This window comes from Homo sapiens, chromosome 7 (assembly GCF_000001405.40).
Source record: "Homo sapiens chromosome 7, GRCh38.p14 Primary Assembly".
Lineage (NCBI taxonomy): Eukaryota > Metazoa > Chordata > Mammalia > Primates > Hominidae > Homo > Homo sapiens.
The window spans coordinates 26,290,676-26,311,490 of NC_000007.14; the positions used below are offsets into that span (position 1 = coordinate 26,290,676).

General features: G+C 46.3%; 1 protein-coding gene across 6 annotated transcripts in view, besides 5 other annotated features; it reads left to right on the forward strand.

Annotated features, from left to right (window-relative positions):
• Positions 1,187 to 20,815, forward strand: part of SNX10 (sorting nexin 10) — an 82,522-nt gene continuing 62,893 nt past the window's right edge. The window contains exon 1 of one of the 6 annotated variants that reach the window (NM_013322.3): positions 1,187 to 1,411. The gene's annotated coding sequence lies outside the window, so the exon portion shown is untranslated. Of the gene's footprint in view, positions 1,459 to 2,355; positions 2,484 to 20,815 lie in introns of those variants that run through there. The other 5 variants (NM_001362754.1, NM_001362753.1, NM_001199835.1 and 2 more) reach the window with 5 other exon arrangements.
• Positions 1,211 to 1,450: a silencer, noted in NCBI's record as "silent region_18036". NCBI's record gives its function as "represses an Ori minimal core promoter by ATAC-STARR-seq in GM12878 lymphoblastoid cells {active_cell/tissue: GM12878}" and the evidence as "EXISTENCE:reporter gene assay evidence [ECO:0000049][PMID:35858748]".
• Positions 1,601 to 1,680: a silencer, noted in NCBI's record as "silent region_18037". NCBI's record gives its function as "represses an Ori minimal core promoter by ATAC-STARR-seq in GM12878 lymphoblastoid cells {active_cell/tissue: GM12878}" and the evidence as "EXISTENCE:reporter gene assay evidence [ECO:0000049][PMID:35858748]".
• Positions 3,172 to 3,221: an enhancer, noted in NCBI's record as "active region_25788". NCBI's record gives its function as "activates an Ori minimal core promoter by ATAC-STARR-seq in GM12878 lymphoblastoid cells {active_cell/tissue: GM12878}" and the evidence as "EXISTENCE:reporter gene assay evidence [ECO:0000049][PMID:35858748]".
• Positions 11,612 to 12,113: an enhancer, noted in NCBI's record as "H3K4me1 hESC enhancer chr7:26341907-26342408 (GRCh37/hg19 assembly coordinates)". NCBI's record gives its function as "activates a minimal SCP1, AML or CMV promoter by ChIP-STARR-seq in primed H9 embryonic stem cells {active_cell/tissue: H9 hESC(primed)}" and the evidence as "EXISTENCE:reporter gene assay evidence [ECO:0000049][PMID:30033119]".
• Positions 12,114 to 12,613: an enhancer, noted in NCBI's record as "H3K4me1 hESC enhancer chr7:26342409-26342908 (GRCh37/hg19 assembly coordinates)". NCBI's record gives its function as "activates a minimal SCP1, AML or CMV promoter by ChIP-STARR-seq in primed H9 embryonic stem cells {active_cell/tissue: H9 hESC(primed)}" and the evidence as "EXISTENCE:reporter gene assay evidence [ECO:0000049][PMID:30033119]".

The window sequence follows — 20,815 nt, forward strand, 5'->3', positions numbered from 1 at the left end:
AATCTCTTAGGATCTTAGATACATGCTGCATTTTGTTTTCTACTCAATGTTTTTCTTTGCGGAGCATAGGGACAAGAATATAAAAAATACACTTTAATTTGATTTTCTTTCTTTTTTTTTTGAGACAGAATCTTGCTCTGTCGCCCAGGCTGGAGTGCAATGGCATGATCTCGGCTCACTGCAACCTCTGCCTCCCGGGTTCAAGCTATTCTCCTGCCTCAGCCTCCCGAGTAGCTGGGATTACAGGCGCGCGCCACCACGCCCAGCTAAGTTTTTGTATTTTTAGTAGAGACGGCATTTCACCATGTCAGCCAGGATGGTCTCCATCTCCTGACCTTGTAATCCACCCGCCTCGGCCTCCCAGAGTGCTGGGATTACAAGCGTGAGCCACCACACCAGCTTAATTTGATTTTCAAAAGTGATCATGGTTGCATTCACTTGTGTGTCATGACTTGGGTGCAATTTTAGGAAATTAAATACCAGTGATTGAGGGTTCAGCAATACAACTTCAAGATCCAAGATGTTAAGACACAACATTGTATATTTATACGTTTTGTTAGGGAGTTAATGTAGGTGTGGTGAACAGATGCGTTTTCAGGTGGGCCTGGAATGGTCCCTGGAGGATGATCAGCGACAAGCTGTATCTAATGGGAAAATTCATGCTTGAAAAATGAAATATTAGGCTATGCTTATTATTCTGTGTCATTCAGTCACTTATTAGCAGTTTAAGTGATGATTGTGGTTTCCCATGCAAACAGGTGTGGGGACCCAGCCTCAGGTGCCATTTGGGAAATGCTTTCCTCAGTCAGGTCCCTTGGCAGATCTCATTAGCTTTCCCCCCAAATGTTTTATTGAGACATTTCAAACATAGACAAAAACTGAAATAATTTTATATAAACACCATAGCCCACCACCTAGATGCTATGAACATTCTGCCATTCTTGTTTATCACGTTATTTATCCGTCCTCCTCCCCATCGGCAATCCTCCCCATAACTGTGGGGTCAGGGTTAGGAAGCTTAAGGTGACTCAGGTGGCGAATTCCGAAGGGTGCCGCTGGAGCACCTCCAGCCTCAACGTCCGGACTAATGGGGGCATTTCCTCCCTAACTCAATTTCAGGAAGCAGGAGGCTAGCTCTGCAGGGTGGGGGCGCACCTGGGCTGGGCTGCGCGGAGGCGGCGGAAGCACTAGGCGCGGCGCCCACAGGCGGACGGCTGGCGCTGAGCGCGGGCGCGGGGCCGCTACGTGCGCGGGGAGCGCGGGGAGCGCGGGGAGCGCGGGGCTGCGCTCGTGTGCGCTCCTGGGCGCTCGCCGCCGCCGCTGCCGCCGCGCGCCTTTGAGTCAGCAAACTCCGCGGCCCGCAAGCCCGGCTCGGCCCGGCCCTGCTCTGTTCTGCCCGGAGGAGCCGCCCGTAAGTGACAAGAGACCCGCTGAGGGGGCCTCCCCTGCACCGCCCAGGTGGGGACGGCGGCCCTTCTTTCCAGAGGCGCGGGCCCTTCCCGCTGTTCCCAGGTGCCCGCACCCTTGCGGGCTGGAAAGAGGTTTGGGTCCCTTGGGCTTGGAGCAGAGGAGCCGCCTCCTTTTCAGCCGAGGTGTGCCGGGCAGGGAGAAATGATCAGCGCGGTAGAGCGGGGAGATGGAGCGCGTCGATCCAGGGATTCTTGGCTAAAAAGACACCCCGGGGAGAGGGTGGGGCAGAGGTGGATTCTAGATTACGGAAGAAGTGCTGTGGCACCTTACACCAGGCCGGGTAGAAGGGGGTGGGGAGGTGGTTTTTAAAATTTATTTATTTATTTTTTTATTCATTCATTAACGGGTAGCCTTGAGTTGAGGAATTGGGAGGGGTAGGCAGGTTTATTCGTGGGATTGTGGGATTGAGGGAGAAGGCCCAGGGGAAAATCCATATAATTGACTGATTATCAGATTTGGTGACCAGGAAAGCAACAGCCTGTTTTTCAGTTCCGATGCATCATACTTTTCTCAAATTACACGGATTATTGAGGGGGATCGTCACGGAATGGGGAGCAACATGTCCTGCTGAAAGGAAGGGCTTCTATCTCTACAAGACACGTTAAAAATGATGGTATCAGAAAATTAGAACGGGGAGGAGGCTTGCACATGATCTCCATCAAACCTTTCATTTTACAGACAGGGAGGCTAAGGCCGAGGGACGCTGAGTGTTGGGACCAGGATCATTCAGCCAGATGGGAGCAGAACCAGGCCTACAACCTGGCAGGCTTCTGACTTCCACCCCGGAGTTATGTCCACCTCTGGGGCCTGGGAACTGGGTTTGGATTGCATAAGCTCCCCCTCCTCTCCCAGGAGGGGGCTGGGCTGGAGGCTGAGGCCTTCGCCAGGAAGAAGCAGGGACTGCTTGGATAGTTGACCAGCTTCTGCAGGGGCTCCTCAGTGAGAGAATGGAGGTGAGGTCAGGGACTCCTGCCTTGCCTCTGCCATCACTTCCAGTGATGCCTATTCCTAAGGTAGGTACATAGCTGGACCTTCATTATTCTTAATATTATTTACTTTTTTCTTTTTCTTTTGAGACAAGGTATTATTCTGTCACCCAGGCTGGATTGCAGTGGTGCGATCTTGGCTCACTGCAAACTCCACCTCCCAGGCTTCAGTGATCCTCCCACCTCAGCCTCCCTAGTAGCTGAGACCACAGGTGCGGGCCACCACACCCCTGGCTAACTTCGGTATTTTTTTTGTAGAGACAGGGTTTTGCCATGTTGCCCCAGGCAGGTCTGGAAGTCCTGAGCTCAAGCAATCCACCTGCCTCGGCCTCCCAAAGTGCTAGGATTACAGGGGTGAGCCACTGCGCTCGGCCTTTTATTACTATTTTTTAAAGGAAGGGTAGACTTGAGATTGACTGATAGGGCAGTTTTTAATAAAAATACAAAAATAAAATACATTTAGAAGAAACTGTGTGAAGATGTGAAATATCAGTGATTAGCATGGACTCAACTGGTCGTCCTGTTTCTTCTACCAGTCCATTTCATTCTCACTTTTGATTACCATTTAACTGGGGAGGACATCAGTGTTGACAGTGGGACTTGCTCAGGCTGACACTGTGCCCCACCAGGGAGTCTCCCCTCCAGGCTGGTACACACTTCCTCTTATTTTACTAATGGGAAGGACCCCTGAGTTAGGTAACCTAAAGTAATAGAAATAAGCACGTTCATTAAAAAAAATAAAAGTATGTTAATCAAAGAGTAACGTTGGTGTTCTACAGCAATTCTGCTGGGCTTTGGAGCAGTGGATATCTTTTCTCAGCCCTAGGATCACTACTTTCATTTTAAGGCTTCATTTTGCTCGTTAAGTTACTGGGGAAAATAACTTCTTTTTTCCGTTTTTAGTGACAGGGCTGTGGTTTCACAACCACTTGGTGAAAGGCAGACAACTGGTTGAGAACAGGGGCCAGTCTATGCAGATTTTCATTTCCTAGCATGGCGGAGAAGGGCTTTTGGCCAAGCTCATGGTTGACTCTGTGGGGAATCCCCCAAATTTAGCATTGTTATCTCCAAACATCTTTTTCTTAGTAATCTGGTAGGTATGAATTAGCTCTTCTGTTCTCTAAGCCCTGTTCAAAGAGGAAGGTATATAGTGTAGTGGTTAGAACTTGTGATTCCAGACCCATCTGAGTTGAAATCTTGGTATAATAATTTTCTAAGTATAGTTTTGTTGGCGGGGCACTTAACACTCTCTGAGTTGCCTGTTATTCAGAAATAAAAAAGGGTGATGGTAATCTTTGCTTCCCAGAACTGTTAATACAACAGCTGACATTTATCGAGTGCTTACTATATTCCAGGCATCGTGACATTATCGAGCACTTAATTATGGGCCAGGCATTGTGAAAGAGTTTTTATGTGGCAGTCTCATTAAGCATCACAACAGACTTATGAAGCAGATTCTGTTACTGTCTTCAGTTTACCTCTGGGGAAACTAAGCCATCAGAGTATTTATGATTTCTCTAAACTCAGCTTACAGTTTTAACTACCCAACAAATGTGTGTCAGATTTCTGTTATAAGCTAATAGTTATCTAGGGCTTACTGTGTGGTAGGCCCTGTTACAAGTGTCCTAAGTACGTTAACAACCCTTGAGATAGGTATTGTTTTTCTCCCCTTCTTCTTTCTTTTTACAGATGTGGAAACTGAGGCACAAAGCCCAAGGTCAAACAACTAGTAATGCGAGAGCCAAAATTTGAACTAGGAGCCTGGGTCTGGAATCAGTAGTAACTCTCAGCCACCCACCTGCGAATGTAAAGGGCTTAGCCAGGCTTCAGTCAAGGGCAACTCCTATTGATACTTACATTTATTTTTCCCTAAGTAACTACTCCTTGCTCCCAGTTTCTGCAGAAGAGATGCTTTTAGTTCTACAAGTGATTCAACTTTACTCAAGGCTTTGTGATTCAGTATGTATTTCTATTGTAGTCTCTGTTATTTTTAAAATCTTGTGCTAGGCCTCAGTGATCTTGCCTCTGGGGACAGGGAAATAGTCTTTATCAGATCTGTGAACCCCTTTCAAATATATGATGTCATTTTTACTTTTTTTTTTGATACTTTTGTAGAGATGGGGTTTTGCCATGTTGCCCAGGCTGGTTTTGAACTCCTGAGCTCAAGTGATCCACCCACCTCAGCCTCCCAAAGTGCTGGGATTACAGGTGTGAGCTACTGTGGCCAGCCTGATTTCATATTCATCTGCAAAAGTGCATTATTCTGGGGGAGAGAATCTGTAGCTTTCTTCAGATTCTTACGTGGTCACCCATGGTGGAAAGAAAGTCATTATTCACCATTTTATTCTAATAATCTCATTTTACAAATGAGGCTACCAAGGCCCAATGGAGAGGCAGAATAACTTAATCTGAACTACACAGCTAATTAGAGGTAAAAACGGGACTCAAACTCAGGTTCCTGAACTTCCAGTCTCATATTCTTTCCATTATAGCCTGATAGTTCCCTGTGGATTAAGTGGTGCCAGATCAATCAATTACGAATTGCCAGAGACCCCCAGCTCTCTCACCAAGCTGTCCAATGCATGAGGCCAGCAAAGCTGCCTGGAAGTGCCTGTCAAAATACGACATCGTTTGGCATGTGATCCTGTTAGCTGAGCCACTTTACTCTGATTTGGTATGGGAATCTACAACTCGGAGAGATGTGAGCCAGGAAAAGAAAAGCTGTTTGGGGAGAAGAAGAGGAATGTTGCAGACATGCATTGGTTGAGGCACAGGCAGCCATTCAGACCTCTTGGTAGAATTGTCGTATTGGAAAGTTTTTGCTAAGAGATTTAGAAATTCAAACAAAATTCCCTGGGCCGGGTGTGGTGGCGCATGCCTGTAGTCCCAGTTACTTAAGAGGCTGAGGTGGGAGGATCGCTTGAGCCCAGGAGGTTGAGGCTGCAGTGAGCTGTGATTGCACCATTGTACTGCAGCCTGCACAACAGAATTAGACTCTGTCTCATAAATAAATAAATAAATACAAATAACCCCCAAATTCCCTGAAGTCTGAGATTTTTGCATAGTATGTGGCTCACTGGGAAGTAAGCCATCTCCTGGCTGAAGGGTGATGCTCCAACGACAAAAGAAGACTAAAAGAGTTGGGTTCTGGTGGCTCACACCTGTAATTTTAGTGACTGAGGAGGCTGAGGTGGGAGGATTGCTTGAGGTCAAGACTTTGAGACCAGCTTGGGCAAAAGCTGGGTGTGGCGGCACACACCTGTAGTCCTAGCTTCTTGGGAGGTCGAGGTAGGAGGATCACTTGGGCCTAGGAGCTGGAGGCTGCAGTGAGCCATGATCTCACCACTATACTCCAGCCTCGGTGACACAGTGAGACCCCAACTCTAAAAAGAAATACTAATAATAAGAAAAATAAGAAAAGCCTAAGAGGTAATGAGACCTTTAATAGTTTAGGCCAGACTTTTAACACGACTTAAATTTTACAAACTGATAATAATAAAGCTTACCTGGAAAATAGATTTGTACTTGTAGGCAATACATTTTTGAAAAAGAATATTGAGGAGAGGCTTGTTCAGCCAGCTATCAAAATATATCAGGTAGGTAGGACGTGGTGGCTCACGCCTGTAATCTTAGTGCTTTGGGAGGCTGAAGCTGAGGATTGCTTGAGGCCAGGAGTTCAAGACAAGCCTGGGCAACATAGACCCCATGTCTAAAAAAAATTTTAGAAAGTATATATCATTTGGGACTATGAATAGAAAGTCGAGAAATGGTTCCATTGTAAAGACAGGAATTGAGTGTATGATAAAATGGACTGTTACTAAGTCTTGGGAAAATTGCCTCTCAATTTGGAAAAGATTAGATCCCTGACTCATACCATTCACAAAAGTAAATTCCATTTAAAGATTAAATGTCAAAACCAAAATTATAAATATTAAAATATATGTAAATATAGAAGATGGTTTTAAAGAGCTTTTTGTTGTTTTGAGACGGAGTCTCGCTCTGTCGCCCAAGCTGGAGTGCAGTGGCACAATCTCAGCTCACTGCAACCTCTGCCTCCTGGGTTCAATAAGTTCTCTGCATCAGCCTCCCAAGTAACTGGGGTTATAGGCACCCATCATCATGCCTGGCTAATTTTCTTACTTTTAGTAGAGACAGGGTTTCACCGTCTTGGCCAGGCTGGTCTTGAACTCCTGACCTCGTGACCCGCCCGTCTCGGCCTCCCAAAGTGCTGGGATTACAGGAATAAGGCACCGCAGCTGGCCAGAAGATGGTTTTTAGAAATAACTTTGGTGTAGGAAAGACCTCAAGTTTAATAAAATTCAGAGACCATAAAGGAAAATATTGATAGACCTAATTTCATGAAAGATTATACTTCATGTCTAGTAGTTTATTTGAACATGAACTTTGGCTACATTTCCCATCTTCACAGCTCAGGCACCCCCAATCTGTCCTTCCCCACTGCAGACTGGCAGGTGGGATTTCCCCCAGGTCATCCTCCTTCCTTCTTTCCTCACATCTTTCTTCCTCTGCAGGAAACAGATTTTTCAGGGCCTTCCATACCTGCCCCTTTGTTTGTCTCTCCTTAGTTATAAGTAATATTTTTAGAAATACATGTAAAATATCAAGAAATAATGGCTGCACCTCTGCCGCCTCTCTCTCACCTCTTATTTCATAAAGCTGGCTCTATATGTTGCTTTATGTGCCTTAGTATATGCTTATGGATATTATATATATTATAGATATATATGTAACACATTTTTTAAAAAGTAAGGAAGAATATATTAATACCATAAACAAAGTTAAAAGGCAGATGACAGGGCTGGGCGCGGTGGCTCACGCCTGTAATCCCAGCACTTTGGGAGGCCGAGGCAGGTGGATCACTTGAGGTCAGGAGTTCGAGACCAGCCTGGCCAACATGGTGAAAGCCCATCTTTACTGAAAATACAAAAATTAGCTGGGCATGGTGGCAGGTGCCTGTAATCCAAGTTACTGAGGCAAGAGAATCACTTGAACTCGGGAGGTGGAGGTTGCATGAGCCGAGATCGTGCCATTGCACTCCAGCTTGGGCAACAGAGCAAGACTCAGTCTCAAAAAAAAGGGCAGATGACAAAGGAGTAAAGCAAATAGTTGCAATATCTATAACAGGCATGAACTCTTAGAAATCAATAGGAAAAACAATCCAGCAGGAATATGGGCAAAGGCTATTCATAGGTAATTCACATATATATGTAAAAATGCTTAATCTTATTAATAATCAGATAAGTGTGGATTAAAAACCATGAAACCTTTTTGCTTAGGTTTGTAATATCCAGTGTTGACGAAGGTGTGGGAAAATAGATTGTCACTATATATGGCGGAGAGTGTAAATTGGTACCATCTCTTGGAAAGGCACGTTAGCAGTATTTATAACATTTTAAAGTTTGCATACTTTCTGATCAGTACTTCCACTTCTAGGACCTTATCCCTCTGAAATACTTGCCTACTTGAAAAAAGGAAGTTGCTCCAAATGAGCCAAAATGGAAAATGTTCATTATGCATTATGTTAGTCAGTTTGGGCTGCCATAACAAAATGCCATAGACTGGGTGGCTTAAACAACAGAAGTTTATTTCTTAGGGTTTTGGAGGCTGGGAAATGCAGGCTGATTTGTTTCCTACTGAGAGTTCTCTCCCTGGCTTGCAGACAGCCGCCTTCGTGCTGCGTCCTCACATGGTGGAAAAAGAGAGAAAGAGAACAAGCTCTTGGTATCTCCGCTTGGTGTCTCACCAGTCCCATCACGAGGGCCCCACCCTTTTAACCTCATCTAAACCTAATCACCCCATCAGAGGCCCTGTTTCCAAATACCAACACACTGGGGGTTAGGGCTTTACTATATGCATTTTGGCAGGACACAATTCAACCTATACTGTATATTAAGTAATGAAAGCAAAGTGGAAGAACAGTGGGAGAAATACAATCTTATTTTTTGAAAAAATCTGGAAGGATGATATGCCCCTAATTGTAGACAGTCATTACCTGTGGAGAGTGAGATTAGAAAGGGAAAGGGAATGGCATTATGGAGGATTTCAGCAATTTTTTTTTTTTGAGATGGAGTCTCGCTCTGTTGCCCAGGCTGGAGTGCGGTGGTGCGATCTCGGCTCACTGCAACTTCTGCCTCCCGGGTTCAAGCGATTCTTCTGCCTCAGCCTCCTGAGTAGCTGGGATTACAGGCATGTGCCACCACACTCAGCTAATTTTTGTATTTTTAGTAGAGACGGGGTTTCACCATGTTGGTCAGGCTGGTGGACCTTGTGATCCACCTGCCTCAGCCTCCCAAAGTGCTGGGATTACAGGTGTGAGCCACTGTGCCTGGCCTCTGATTTTTTTTTTCAGCTCACTGCGACCTCTGCCTCCCAAGTTCAAGCAGTTCTTCTGCCTTAGCCTCCCCAGTAGCTGGGATTACAGGTGAGCACCACCATACCCAGATAATTTTTATATTTTTAGTAGAGACAGGGTTTCACCGTGTTGGCTGGTCTCGAACTCGTGACCTCGTGATCTGCCCGCCTTGGCCTCCCAAACTGCTGGGATTACAGGTGTGAGCCACCGCATCTGGCCTATATTTCTATTTTTTTCCCCAAACTTTGAAATAATTTTAAAGTATAAAAAGTGCAGGCTGTGTGCAGTGGCTCACACCTGTAATCCCAGCCCTTTGGGAGGCTGAGGTGGGAGGATTGCTTGAGCCTGGGAATTTGAGATCAGCCTGGGCAACATAGTGAGACCCTGTCTCTGTTTTCAAAAAAACTTTTAAAAAGAATAGAAAAGCCGGGCATGGTGGCTCACGCCTGTAATCCCAGCACTTTGGGAGGCCGAGGCGAGTGGATCTCCTGAGGTCAGGAGTTCAAGACCAGGCTGGCCAGCATGGTGAAACCCTATCTCTACTAAAAATACAAAAATTAGCTGGGCATGGTGGTGCATGCCTGTAATCTCAGCCACTCGGGAGGCTGAGGCAGGAGAATTGCTTAAACCTGGGAGGCAGAGGTTGCAGTGAGCAGAGATTATGCCACTGCACTCTAGCCTGGGCAACAGAGCGAGACTCTGTCTCAAAAATAAATAAAAATAAAACAAAGTGCCAAAATAATAATTTTTTTTTTTTTGGCTTAGGGGAGTAGGGACTGTGTCTTGCTGTGTTGCCCAGGCTGGTCTCAGACTCCTGGCCTCAAGGGATCCTCCTGCCTTGGCTCCCAAAGGGTTTAGGATTACAGGCATGAGCCACTACATCTAGCCCTAAATCTTTTATTTTTAAAGATAATAAGTCTGTTATCCTGAAATAAAATAATACTTAAGACCTGTGGAAAAAAATAACAAAATGATTTGAAGTATTAACAGGGCCCTCCTGCCTAGAGCCTCCCAGCTGAACTGCCTAGGGAGGGGTGGTCTCTGCTAGAGTGGAAGACCTGGTCCTCTGAATTTCCAGGTGAGTGTTCCCAGTTGCCTTTTCTGCTACTTATTTTAAAAGGTTTATCCCAGCCTCCATCTCTGAAGGCAGGATGTATGCAGCAAGAGTATTGCTTAATTCAGAAGGGTGATTTACCCTGGATTTCGTGGTCTTTAAGTGCTTTAAAAGAATTAGGCCGAGCACCGTGTCTCTCACTGTAATCTCAGCATTTTGGGATGCTAAGGTGGGTGAATCACTGGAGCTCAGGAGTTCGAGACCAGCCTGGCCAACATGGCGAAACCCCATCTCTACTAAAAATACAAAAATTAGCCAGGTGTGGTGGCGAGCACCTGTAGTCCCAGCTACTCGGGAGGCTGCGATGGGAGAATCACTTGAGCCTGGGAGGTGGAGGTGGCAGTGAGCCGAGATTGTACCACTGCACTCCAACCTGGGTGACAGAGTGATACTCTGTCTCCAAAAAAAAAAAAAAAAAAAAAAAAAGCCATCATCTCTCAGTTTAGTTGTGTTTTCTGAGTATAGCTTAAAACTAGTTATGTTACTTCATCATTGGTATTCATTGGTGTTTTCTCAGCATCACTATCCCTTCCCAAATCCCCCCAAAAACCACACACAGAGTGTATGTCTAACCAGGCTTTCTGGCATTAACAAGGCCAGATCTTATGTTACTCATTGGTATAGTTAAATGTGTATATTCTCTTGTGCTCAAGAAAGGTGGCTGGCAAGGCAGAATTTATAATGAACTACAGATGTCATGTCCTTGATTTTTTCTTTTCCCTATGTGGTCCGAATCCCTTAGGAAGATAGGAAAGGGAAGTCTTGAGCTCCTTTTTAGATTCAGGCTGGAAATGCCTACTAAATTCCTAATAGCTTCCAAGGTGCTGTGCCTTAAGAAGCCTTGGATTCCTGGGGATGAGAGAACAAAAAAGAGGGTGAGGGGGAACCAAAGGGGGCACCAAAGGCCAAAGACAGACTTCACCCAGGACAAGTCCTGTGTCCAAGGAGTGTGACAAGGCTTTCTGACATGCTTCCAGGAACATTTTGTGTTTATTTGGCATGGCATGTTTTAGGAAGGAGATGGAAACATCTATTTAGTACTCAACCATGTACCACACACTGTCCTGGGTACTTCAGTTTACATTATCTCATTATTCCTGTGATATAGGAGATGCTACAGACATTTTCGACAATTCAGAGATATTTCATGACTTGAACAAATGGAGGAGACAGGATTTGAGCCACAGCTGTTCCCATACCCATTTTTTTTTCCAGTACTTTATTTTAAGAGTCCCACCATTGAGTTTGCTTTTAGAGTCAAAATGCACTCTCTCTGATTTAAAAGTTTTTTATTAAGGGAAAAATTTAAAAGTCATACTGGGTACATCGTTAGGCATAGGACTCTGAGGTTACCACTTCTGATCCTCAAACATAATCCATGTAGATTATAAAAGGCTGTAACTTGGGGACTGGGTCATACGTTTTTTCCCTTATACCATAGACAACCAGGGCTTTGTAAAATACCTCAGAGCATTTTAACTTTGACATCAGTGGTGTGAGGTTATTTTCATCTCCTTTTTTTCCAATCTCCCTTCCCATTTTCCATCTCAGGTGTGCATTTTCCTTCTTTGTGCCTTTTTATGCTTCCTTGATTCTGCAAAGGTCCCTTTAGCATGTGGTCAAAGTTCTCTGGGTATCAGAGAAACAGAAAGACCCATCTCAAGCTGTGTGGGCCCAGAATCTTACACAGCTCTCATCAGTGTAGGGCACTTGCCCTGACGTGACCTTGAGAGCCAACTCCTTTGCAGGCAGGAGATGGACTCTACGCAGGCTGGCACCAGCAGTGACAATGGGGGCCACCTCTGCAGCCCCAAGACAACCCCACCTCAGCACTGTGTTTCCATTCACATGGTCTCCCTCTGTGTGCAGCAAGCCTCCTCTTTCACGTTTTTGTACAGCTTCTCTCTTAAGCACAGTACGCCCCAGCCTGGCCTACGTATTGCCCAGGACCCTCGGGTAATACCTTACTCGTCTTGTGTGTTGTGCACTCTTATTCTTTGTTTTCACCAGCGTGGCTGCTTTCTGCGGGGTGCACCCTCGGTTTCTGGTACTCCCTGCTCCCTGGTGACCACTTTTGCTGCATACCCACAAAGGCTGGGCTTGGAGTTCTGACCCCAGTTTTGCCATCACTAGGCAAAATCTATTTCTGGCCTGGCAGGGTGGTTCATGCCTGTAATCCCAGCACTTTGGGAGGCCGAGGCGGGTGGATCACCTGAGGCCCGGAGTTTGAGACCAGCATGGCCAACATGATGGGAGGGCGACGGAGGTTGCAGTGAGCCGAAATCACACTGCATTCCAGCCTGGGCGACAGAGTGAGACTCCATCTAAAAACAAAAACAAAAACAAAAACAAAAAACCTGTTTCTGATGGTCTCAGAAATGAGAGAGAGAATGAGAGGACCCTAAAGGAAGGGAGATCAGAGGTAACACATTGATTAAGAATCCTCCTCAGCTAAAATCAGCTACTAAGAATTAGAATGCGTTAGCTTCAACTCTGTTGGTGGCAGATCCCCTAAAGTCTTTGAAAGGCTTTGTCATGATTCTTTCAAGATTACAGTATTCTTGCAAATTCATCCCTTTGTGCTTCAGCTGTTGCTGGTTTTAAAGAAGAGAAACTTTCCTAAGTTAGCATTGGAGTTGGGGGCTTAATGTAAGGATACTGCAGACAACTCAAAGGCAACTGCTTGGAACTGGAAAGTCAAAAACTGAAGCTGCACTTTCACTCCTCTCCCAAGGCCCAAGTCCTCTAACTCCCCGTCGCTGTTTCTCTGGCTGGGGCTTCTCTACTTGCACATGGTTCAGTGTGGCCTGCCTGGCCCTGCCTGCACACAGCTTCCCATCCAAGGGCTCATTGCCCTCTGATGCAGTCTTTCAGGCTCCTCCGACCCTCTTTGTACATTTTTGTCTTCATCATGCCGAACTCCTCACCTTTCCTCTACTCATCTGGCCACTCTGCTCCATTCCCTTGCTTGTTTCTCTGGTTTCTCTGATTCCTCCAATTGACAGCTCCTTGGGGCCTGTTCTGAGCCCTCTTCTTTTCTCTATGTTTTCTCCCTAGATCTGTGGTTTTCCAACATTTCTGTGCATAGGAATTATCTGCAAAACTTGTTAAGGCAGATTTCTGGGTCTCAGTATTCCAATTCAGTAGTTCTAGGATGAGACCTAGGGACTTGTATCTTATTCCTGGGTGATCCAGAGGCTATGACACACTCAGGACAAGCTGGTTTCATTCTATGACTTTAAGTGTTGTTAATAAACTACTAATTCCCTGGTGTGGATATCTAGCTCTCTTGAGAGCTCCAGGTTTAGATATTTAACATTGAATTTGACTGTGGCTTCTTGGGTTTGTCACAGACATTTCATATTAACTTGCCCAATACTTGATCCTCTCCCCAGTTTTGTAAGGGCCTAACACTTACATAGTTTGGGGTCCTCTGTAAGAAAAGGAACATAGAATTGAGAATACAAAGCGAGATGTGGGAACGTGGTGGTGCACTGTGCAGATTAGGGCTTGGAAACTTGGCTTCTGTAGCCTTGGGTCACTCCTCCTCGGCTTGCCTACTCACCCCAGCACCGTCTCCTCCAGCCTTCCCCATCTGAATGAAGGCCTATGCCTTCCATTTGTTTGTTTAGACCAGAAACCTAGGAGCCGTTTCTCATCTTCAGCCCACTTCTGAGCTCTCTGAAGGTCTTGCTTGATTCTCCAATTCAGTACCCCCTTGCCCCGAATCTCAGGTTGCCATTGTTACTTTCCTATTAGCTTCTGATCGAGTCTCTCTGGTTCCACTTTGTTCCCCTCCGATCCAATTTCCAGAAGCAGACAGAGCAGTCTTTTAAAGTACATCAGAACGTGTCACTCCAGTCCTGCCATGTGTCCATAGAAATGGCTGAGTCTGGTGGCAGGGCCAGGGGTGTGGGCAGATGGGAGAGGGTCAGGGGGGATTACACCGCACAAGCTTGACTGTCCTGGAACCTTGAAAGAAGTGGGGGTGTGTCTGGGGAGGTATGCAAGAATTATCAACTGCAGTTGTTTGTTTCAGTCCCACTTTACCACATTTCATTGGAAGAACTTGAGCTGTATAAGGCCTGTGAACACAAATGGGGATGGGTACTCCCTAATTCTTTGCTTTTCAGTGCATTCCTGTGGCATTTGATGCTAAATAGTGCAATCAAACTGTTTAATTACTTTTGGGGAAGAATCACACATTCTTTTTTAACCCCGGTGTCATCTTTTAACTCCGGGTTCCTTAATCTCCTTAGAGAGCTGATTAAGCTTGGTGAGAACCCACAGGTCCATGGCCCAGGTAAATCCAAAGCCCGGCCCAGGGAAATCCAAAGCCCTGCCCAGGTTTTCTGCGAATTCCCTGGAGGAGGGGGTGGATGGGGGAGGCCTCATGTGCTTTCTTTTTTACCTTGGTGTCAGCCCCGACACAAACTCAGCCCCTTCCCTCATGGATGGAGAAATCCACCACCACTACTACCATGTGTTTTGTTAGTTGAGTGGACTTCACTGGAGTCCCCTGTGGGGCTCCTGATCTTGCATAGTCTCCTGGGTCCCTCTTTCCTCCTCTCATCCCTACCCCTCACTCCATCCCCCTCACTTGTCCGTGAGCTCCAGTCTTCTTCCTCTGTAACTATGGATACTCCCCAGTTCCTCTCTTCAACTTACAAACCCAAGTCAAAGTACAGGGCAGAACAACGGGCTTTATATGTAGGGAACCAACACTCCTTAGAAGTTATAAATACAAACACACACAAAAGAGTTTTCTATCACACTGTAATTATCTTCCCCTTTCTCACTGATGTAGCAGCTCTTATTGTAGAGTGGCGTTTGGAAGAGCTGGGGAGAAGATGTGCTCTTCCTGCTGCCCCCGAAGGTCACTGTCTGGATTAGGGGGCAGGCAGTGTTACTGTAGCTCTGGGCTCTGGAATCTCACAGCAAACAACTTGGGGTCTCTTCATCAGCTTGTCTGCAGATGATCAGACCCTGAGAAACTGAGCTCTTTCTGTCTAAACACACAGGAAACTTCCTATGTTGGGAAATCAGCTTAAAGATTTACAACCAGACGCAGACCGGATGCTGCGATTTGCTAGTCACCTTGCTTCACTAGTGGTTGGGAAACCTTGAAAAACGGTGGCGTCTATTTTGAGGACTTTGCCAAACTGAGTCTGTAGACAGACACATGTCAAATGCCCTTGGATTACAGTCATTATTGCCAGCAAGTAAGAGTTTAAGAATAATAACTTTGGCATTTCACCCACTTCTGTTATTTTAAAAATTATTTATTTATTTTAGACAGAATCTCTCTCTCTGTCGCCCAAGCTGGAGTGCAGTGGCGCAATCGTGGGTCACTGCAACCTCTGCCTCCCAGGGTTAAACGATTCTCGTGCCTCAGCCTCTGGAGTAGTTGGGACTACAGGCATGAGCCACCACACCTGGCTAAATTTTTTGTATTTTTTTTTTTTTGTAGAGACGGGTTTTCGCCAGGTTGGCCAGGCTGGTCTCGAACTCCTGAGCTGAAGCGATCCACCCGCATTGGCCTCCCAAAGTGCTGGGATTGCAGACGTGACCCACTGCACCTGGCCACATTTCACCCACTTTTTAAAAGGACTTTCTTGTGTTACTTATCTTAGGCTTCTTAGATCAAGGCCAGGCATTGGACATCCGTGAGTAAATGATCCAACTCTTGCAGGGAGTGGCCACAGTGTGGCTGAGTTTCAGAGCATTTAGATTTAAAATATTCTGCTCCCTAAACATTATTATCCTATCTGACAAAAAAGATGCTTGAAGAGAATTTTTTTTTTTTTTTTTGAGACAGGGTCTTGTTTTGTCACTCAGGCTGGAGTGTAGTGATATGATCATGGCTCACTGCAGCTTCCTGAGCTCAGGTGATCTCTTACCTCAGCCTCCTGAGTGGCTGAGACTACAGGCACGCACCACCATGCCTGGCTAATGTTTTTGTATTTTTGTAGAGATGGGTTTCGTCATGTTGCCCAGGTCTCGAACTCCTGGGCTCAAGTGATCCACCCGCCTCAGCCTCCCAAAGCACTGGGATTACAGGCATGAGCCACCGTGCCCAGACAGAAAATTTTTGTAAAGGAACAAATGCTCTGTGATCATGAGGAAGGCACCTCAGCATTTTTCATATTGGGGGTCCTGGGAAAGTCTGAGAATGAACAGTGACTGCAGCTGGCACAGTCGGAGCCAGGCACAGGCCTCCATGCTTGCTCATTTGATCTTTACAGTAGATCATGAAGCAGGCAGTTATCTCCTCTTACAGATGAGAACACTGAAGCACAGAGATGAAGTAATTTGGGAAAGGGCAGAATGTGAATTCACAACCAGGTGGTCTGGAGTCAAATGCCTCACACTACTTTTACCACTCACTGTGCTCATCCTGCTCACTTTAGGGGGGCATTCCCCTCTAAACTGCTCCTCAGCAGTGGATCTTCATGACAGAGGCACCGTGAAGGAAAGAGGGTTATTTCCAGTGAGTTGCGATGCTTTTCCTTTAGAAAAGAGAATTTCTCTCTCTGTTTAAAAGCAGAACATTAAATGTTGAATTTTTTTCTCTCATCTGCATCCCTGTATCCTTTCCTTATCTCAGCCCCAAGCTGCTCTCCAGACGCCTAAAGACTGTCTCTCCCGTCTGGATGTCCCCAACACCCTAACATGTTCCAGTTTCTTTCTTACCTCTCAAAACAGCCCCCCTTTTCCAACTTCCCCATTCTGGGAACACCAGTCTTCTTCCAGTCACCCGGCCTGTGAGTCATCCTTGACTCCCTTTTCTCAATCATGCCCTGTGTCCAAGTTTTTCTTGTTGTTTATTCATTTATTTGTATTCTTTGAGACAGGATCTCACTCTGTCACCCAGACTGGAGTGTAGTGGCACGATCTCAGCTCGCTGCAACCTCTGCCTCCCAGGCTCAAGCCATCCTCCAACCTCAGCCTCCTGAGTAGCTGGGACTATGGGTGCGTGCCATGAAACCCAGCTAATTTTTGCATTTTTTTTTGTTTTTGTTCCAGAGATGGGGTTTTGCCATGTTGCCCAGGCTAGCATTCTTTTTTTTTTTTTAATAGTCTTTATTTTTTAGAGCAGTTTTAGATTCACAGCAAAAATGAAAGTACAGAGCTTCCCTGCTCCCCATAACCCACCTCTCCCATTATCAACATCAGCACCGTGGGGGTACATTGGTAACAGTTGATGAACCTGCACTGATACATTATCATCACCCAAAGTGGACAGTCTGTAGTTTACCTTCATCAGTCTTTTGATGAAGCTCATGGCTTGTAATTTCTCTCCCTGGCAATCCTTCCAACACCCATCCCAGATGAATCACTGCCATCATGTCAAGCTTCCACTTACTCCATCCCTGCCTTCCAACAGGATAGAAGTCCAAATTCCTCCTTTTGTTCTTCAGGGACTTCCCAATCCTAAAATGCTTACCACAGCCTGTGATATTATGATATATATGTTGGTTTTGTCCACAGTTCCTGGCCCATAAATCCCATAGCCCTTGTTACAGTGTTTGGGTGTTTTAGGCCTCAGAAGCAGGCCTCAGAAAACAGTACCTCTTGCTGACTTTCTCCTGTTCTCCCTTCAACCTGCTCCTTTTTCTCCCCAAGGCTAATCTTCCCCTGTGTTTCCATAAAGAAATTCTCAGACTTACCTTGTCTGATTGTAGATCATAAGACCCTCATTTCAGGAGGGGTTCTGCCCTTTACCCTGGGGGAAGCAATGTTGCACCAAGCGGCCCAGAAGAATCTGAACAGACAGGCCTTTCTGGGTTCCCCACTCAGTCTGTTAGTATTGGGTCATGTCCTTTTTGTCCAATCATATTTCTGCATGGTTGCCCCTGCTTCAGTCATCCCTGTTCAATGAAGTCTGTGTAAAAGGCCCAAGAGGACAGGGTTTGGAGGGCTTCTGGAAGGCTGAACACGTGGAGGTTCCTGGGGGGTGGTGCACCTGGGGAGGTATGGGAGCTCCATACCCATACCTTGTCCTGTGCGTCTCCATCTGTGTCCTTTGTACTATCCTTTATAATAAACCAGTAATAAGTTTTGTGAGCCGCTCTAGCAAATTAATCAAACCCAAGGAGGAGGTCATGGGATCCCCAGTTTATAGCCAGTGAGTCAGAAGCACAGGCGAAACAGCCTGGGGCTTGAGATGGGCACTTTAAGTGGGGGCAGTCATTTGGGTCTGAGCCTCAACCTCTGGGATCTGATAATGTCCCCAGGTAGGTAGGGTCAGAATTGAACTGGGTTGGAGGACACCCAGCTGGTATCTACTGCAGAATTGATTGCTTGCTTGTTGGTGGGAAGAAGTCCCCACACACTTGGTCACAGCAATCTTCTATGTTGATCGATTGTCTTTGAGTAAGAGAATTAAAAAAAATGCTTTGAGTTTGAGTTTCTCAGACAGCTCTTCAGACAAACCCCCTTGTGATATTCTGCCAGCACAGCCCTCCATTCATGGGGGACTGGGCCCCTCACTTCTCCCAAACTCATTACTGCCTCTTAATCACCACAGGCTGGTCCTGTTTTCTCTGCCTGTCCTAATGCGAGCATCAAGACCTAGTCAAGCCTTGCCTTCTCCATGAAGCCTCCCCCTCCATTCTTCCGGTTAGCCCTGCTATCAGTGCAGTTCTTCTGGCACATCACAGTGAGCATTGCGTTAGAAGTGGCCTGTTTCATATCTGAGTCTTGACATCTTTAGGTATTAGAACTCAAGGAGTGTTACTTAATCATCCAAAAAAAAAAAAAAAATCCCTCACCAGGACCAAACCTGGAACGCTCACCCAGTCGGTTCTCAGTGATTATGTACTGGACTGACTTGCCACTGTCCTCTGCTTAGCCTTAGGTGGCCCTTCATAGCTAGTGACCCTAACCAGGTCTGCCGAGTGAATGCACTGCACTTTTCTCAGTATTACCTCTTTTCGGAAGATAAGTATTACGTCTTTTCAGGTATCCGGCTGTTGGCTTCTCCCGGGTTCATGTATGTGGGAAGAACTCTACCCCCAACCTTCATCCCTAAAGCATTTGAGCCGTTAGTAACTCACTTTGGGTTGGTATTTTTCACTCACTGCTGTCTTTTAAGCATTTATTTCTAAGGGGGATGCTTGGGTGCCCTGTTGGATGTAGGGGTACCTTGTGGTGAGGGTGAGGGCTCCTCTGAGTCTGGCTGCCTGGGCCGCGATCCTGGCTTCTTCACTTGATCAGCTGCACAGCCTTAGGTGCCTTTTCCTTATTTGCAAAATTGAAGTAATAATGATACCTGGCCTCTGGGGCCCTTACCAGGATTAGATGAGATAATACATGTTGCAAGCTTTGCACGGTGTCTGGGACATAGTAAACAATTTTTTTTGGCCTTATTGCTATTTTGGATTTTTAATGGCATAATTTTAACATTATTCCCCAGTCTCATCCTCCACAGTCCAGTGGAGTTAGTTTAGGAGGAAAGATAGAAAACAGAGGCCACTTCACTCTGCGTTGTTGCTGGCTAAATGCTTTCTTTCCTCACAAGACGAATGATTAACCATGAGTGGGCTCACAGGTGGGCTGGCCCGAGAGGCGGGCGACTGTCAACCCATCTTCCCTTCCCAGGTGGTTGGGCGGCTTAGAAACTTGATGGAGATGCAGAAATGGAGAAAACCAGCTGGAACTCATTCAATCAAATTTAATATACTGCATATTTTCTGGGCACTGACAATATGCCAGGCACTGTGCTAAGTGCTAAAGTTGTAAAGCATAAATAATTGGGCAAGGTCCCTGCCCTCAAGGGACTTTTCAGAGGACATATAATCCTCAAGAAAATAGATTAATAGATAAATAATAAATTAATATAGACTGCGACAAAGTCCGAGGAGAAAATGAAAGGATAGAGTTCCTAGGGGAGTCTGCTTTAGTGGGTGGTTAGGGAACCCTCTTTGGGGAGGTGGCCTTTAAACCAAGATCTGAAGCTGGGAAGGAGCCACCTTGGTGAGTTGGGGGTGGGGAGGTGGAAAGGGGAGAATGTCGAGAGTACAGCAGCACGAGGGGACTGAGGAAGGATCTGGCGAGGAACAATTTTTTTTTTTTTTTTGAGACAGAGTCTCGCTCTGTCTCCCAGGCTGGAGTGCAGTGGCGCCATCTCGGCTCACTGCAAGCTCCGCCTCCTGGGGTTCACGCCATTCTCCTGTCTCAGCCTCCCGAGTAGCTGGAACTACAGGCGCCTGCCACCACGGCTGGCTAATTTTTTTGTATTTTTAGTAGAGATGGCGTTTCACCGTGTTAGCCAGGATGGTCTCAATCTCCGGACCTCGTGATCCGCCCACCTCGGCCTCCCAAAGTGCTGGGATTACAGGCGTGAGCCACCGTGCCTGGCCAAGCTGAGGAACTATTAATAGTCTGGTCTCTGTGAAAAGACACCTGGAGTGTACAGAAGAGCTTGGCTGAGGGGGTGGCCAGGGAACCGAAGGGGCGAGGCTTATAGGGATTGTGTAAGTGCATACCCCGTTATCTGGGACAGTGGTTTAACATTTTTAAATTAAATTCTTTTTCTTTTTATTTTTGAGACAGGGTCTCGCTCTGTCGCCCAGGCTGGAATGCAGTGTCAGGATCTCAGCTCAGTACAACCTCCGCCTCTCGGGTTCAAGGATTCTCATGCCTTAGCCTCCCAAGTAGCTGGGACTACAGGCTTGCGCCACTAGGCCTGGCTAATTTTTAATATTTTTAGTAGAGAGGGGGTTTCACTGTATTGCCCAGGCTGGTCTGGAGCCCCTGGGCTCAAGCGATTCTCCCGCCTCGGCCTCCAAAAGTGCCACTGCACCTGGCCAGTGGCTTAAAATTTTTTTCTATCATTGACATACTTGAGAAGGCATAAGATACTCTTGT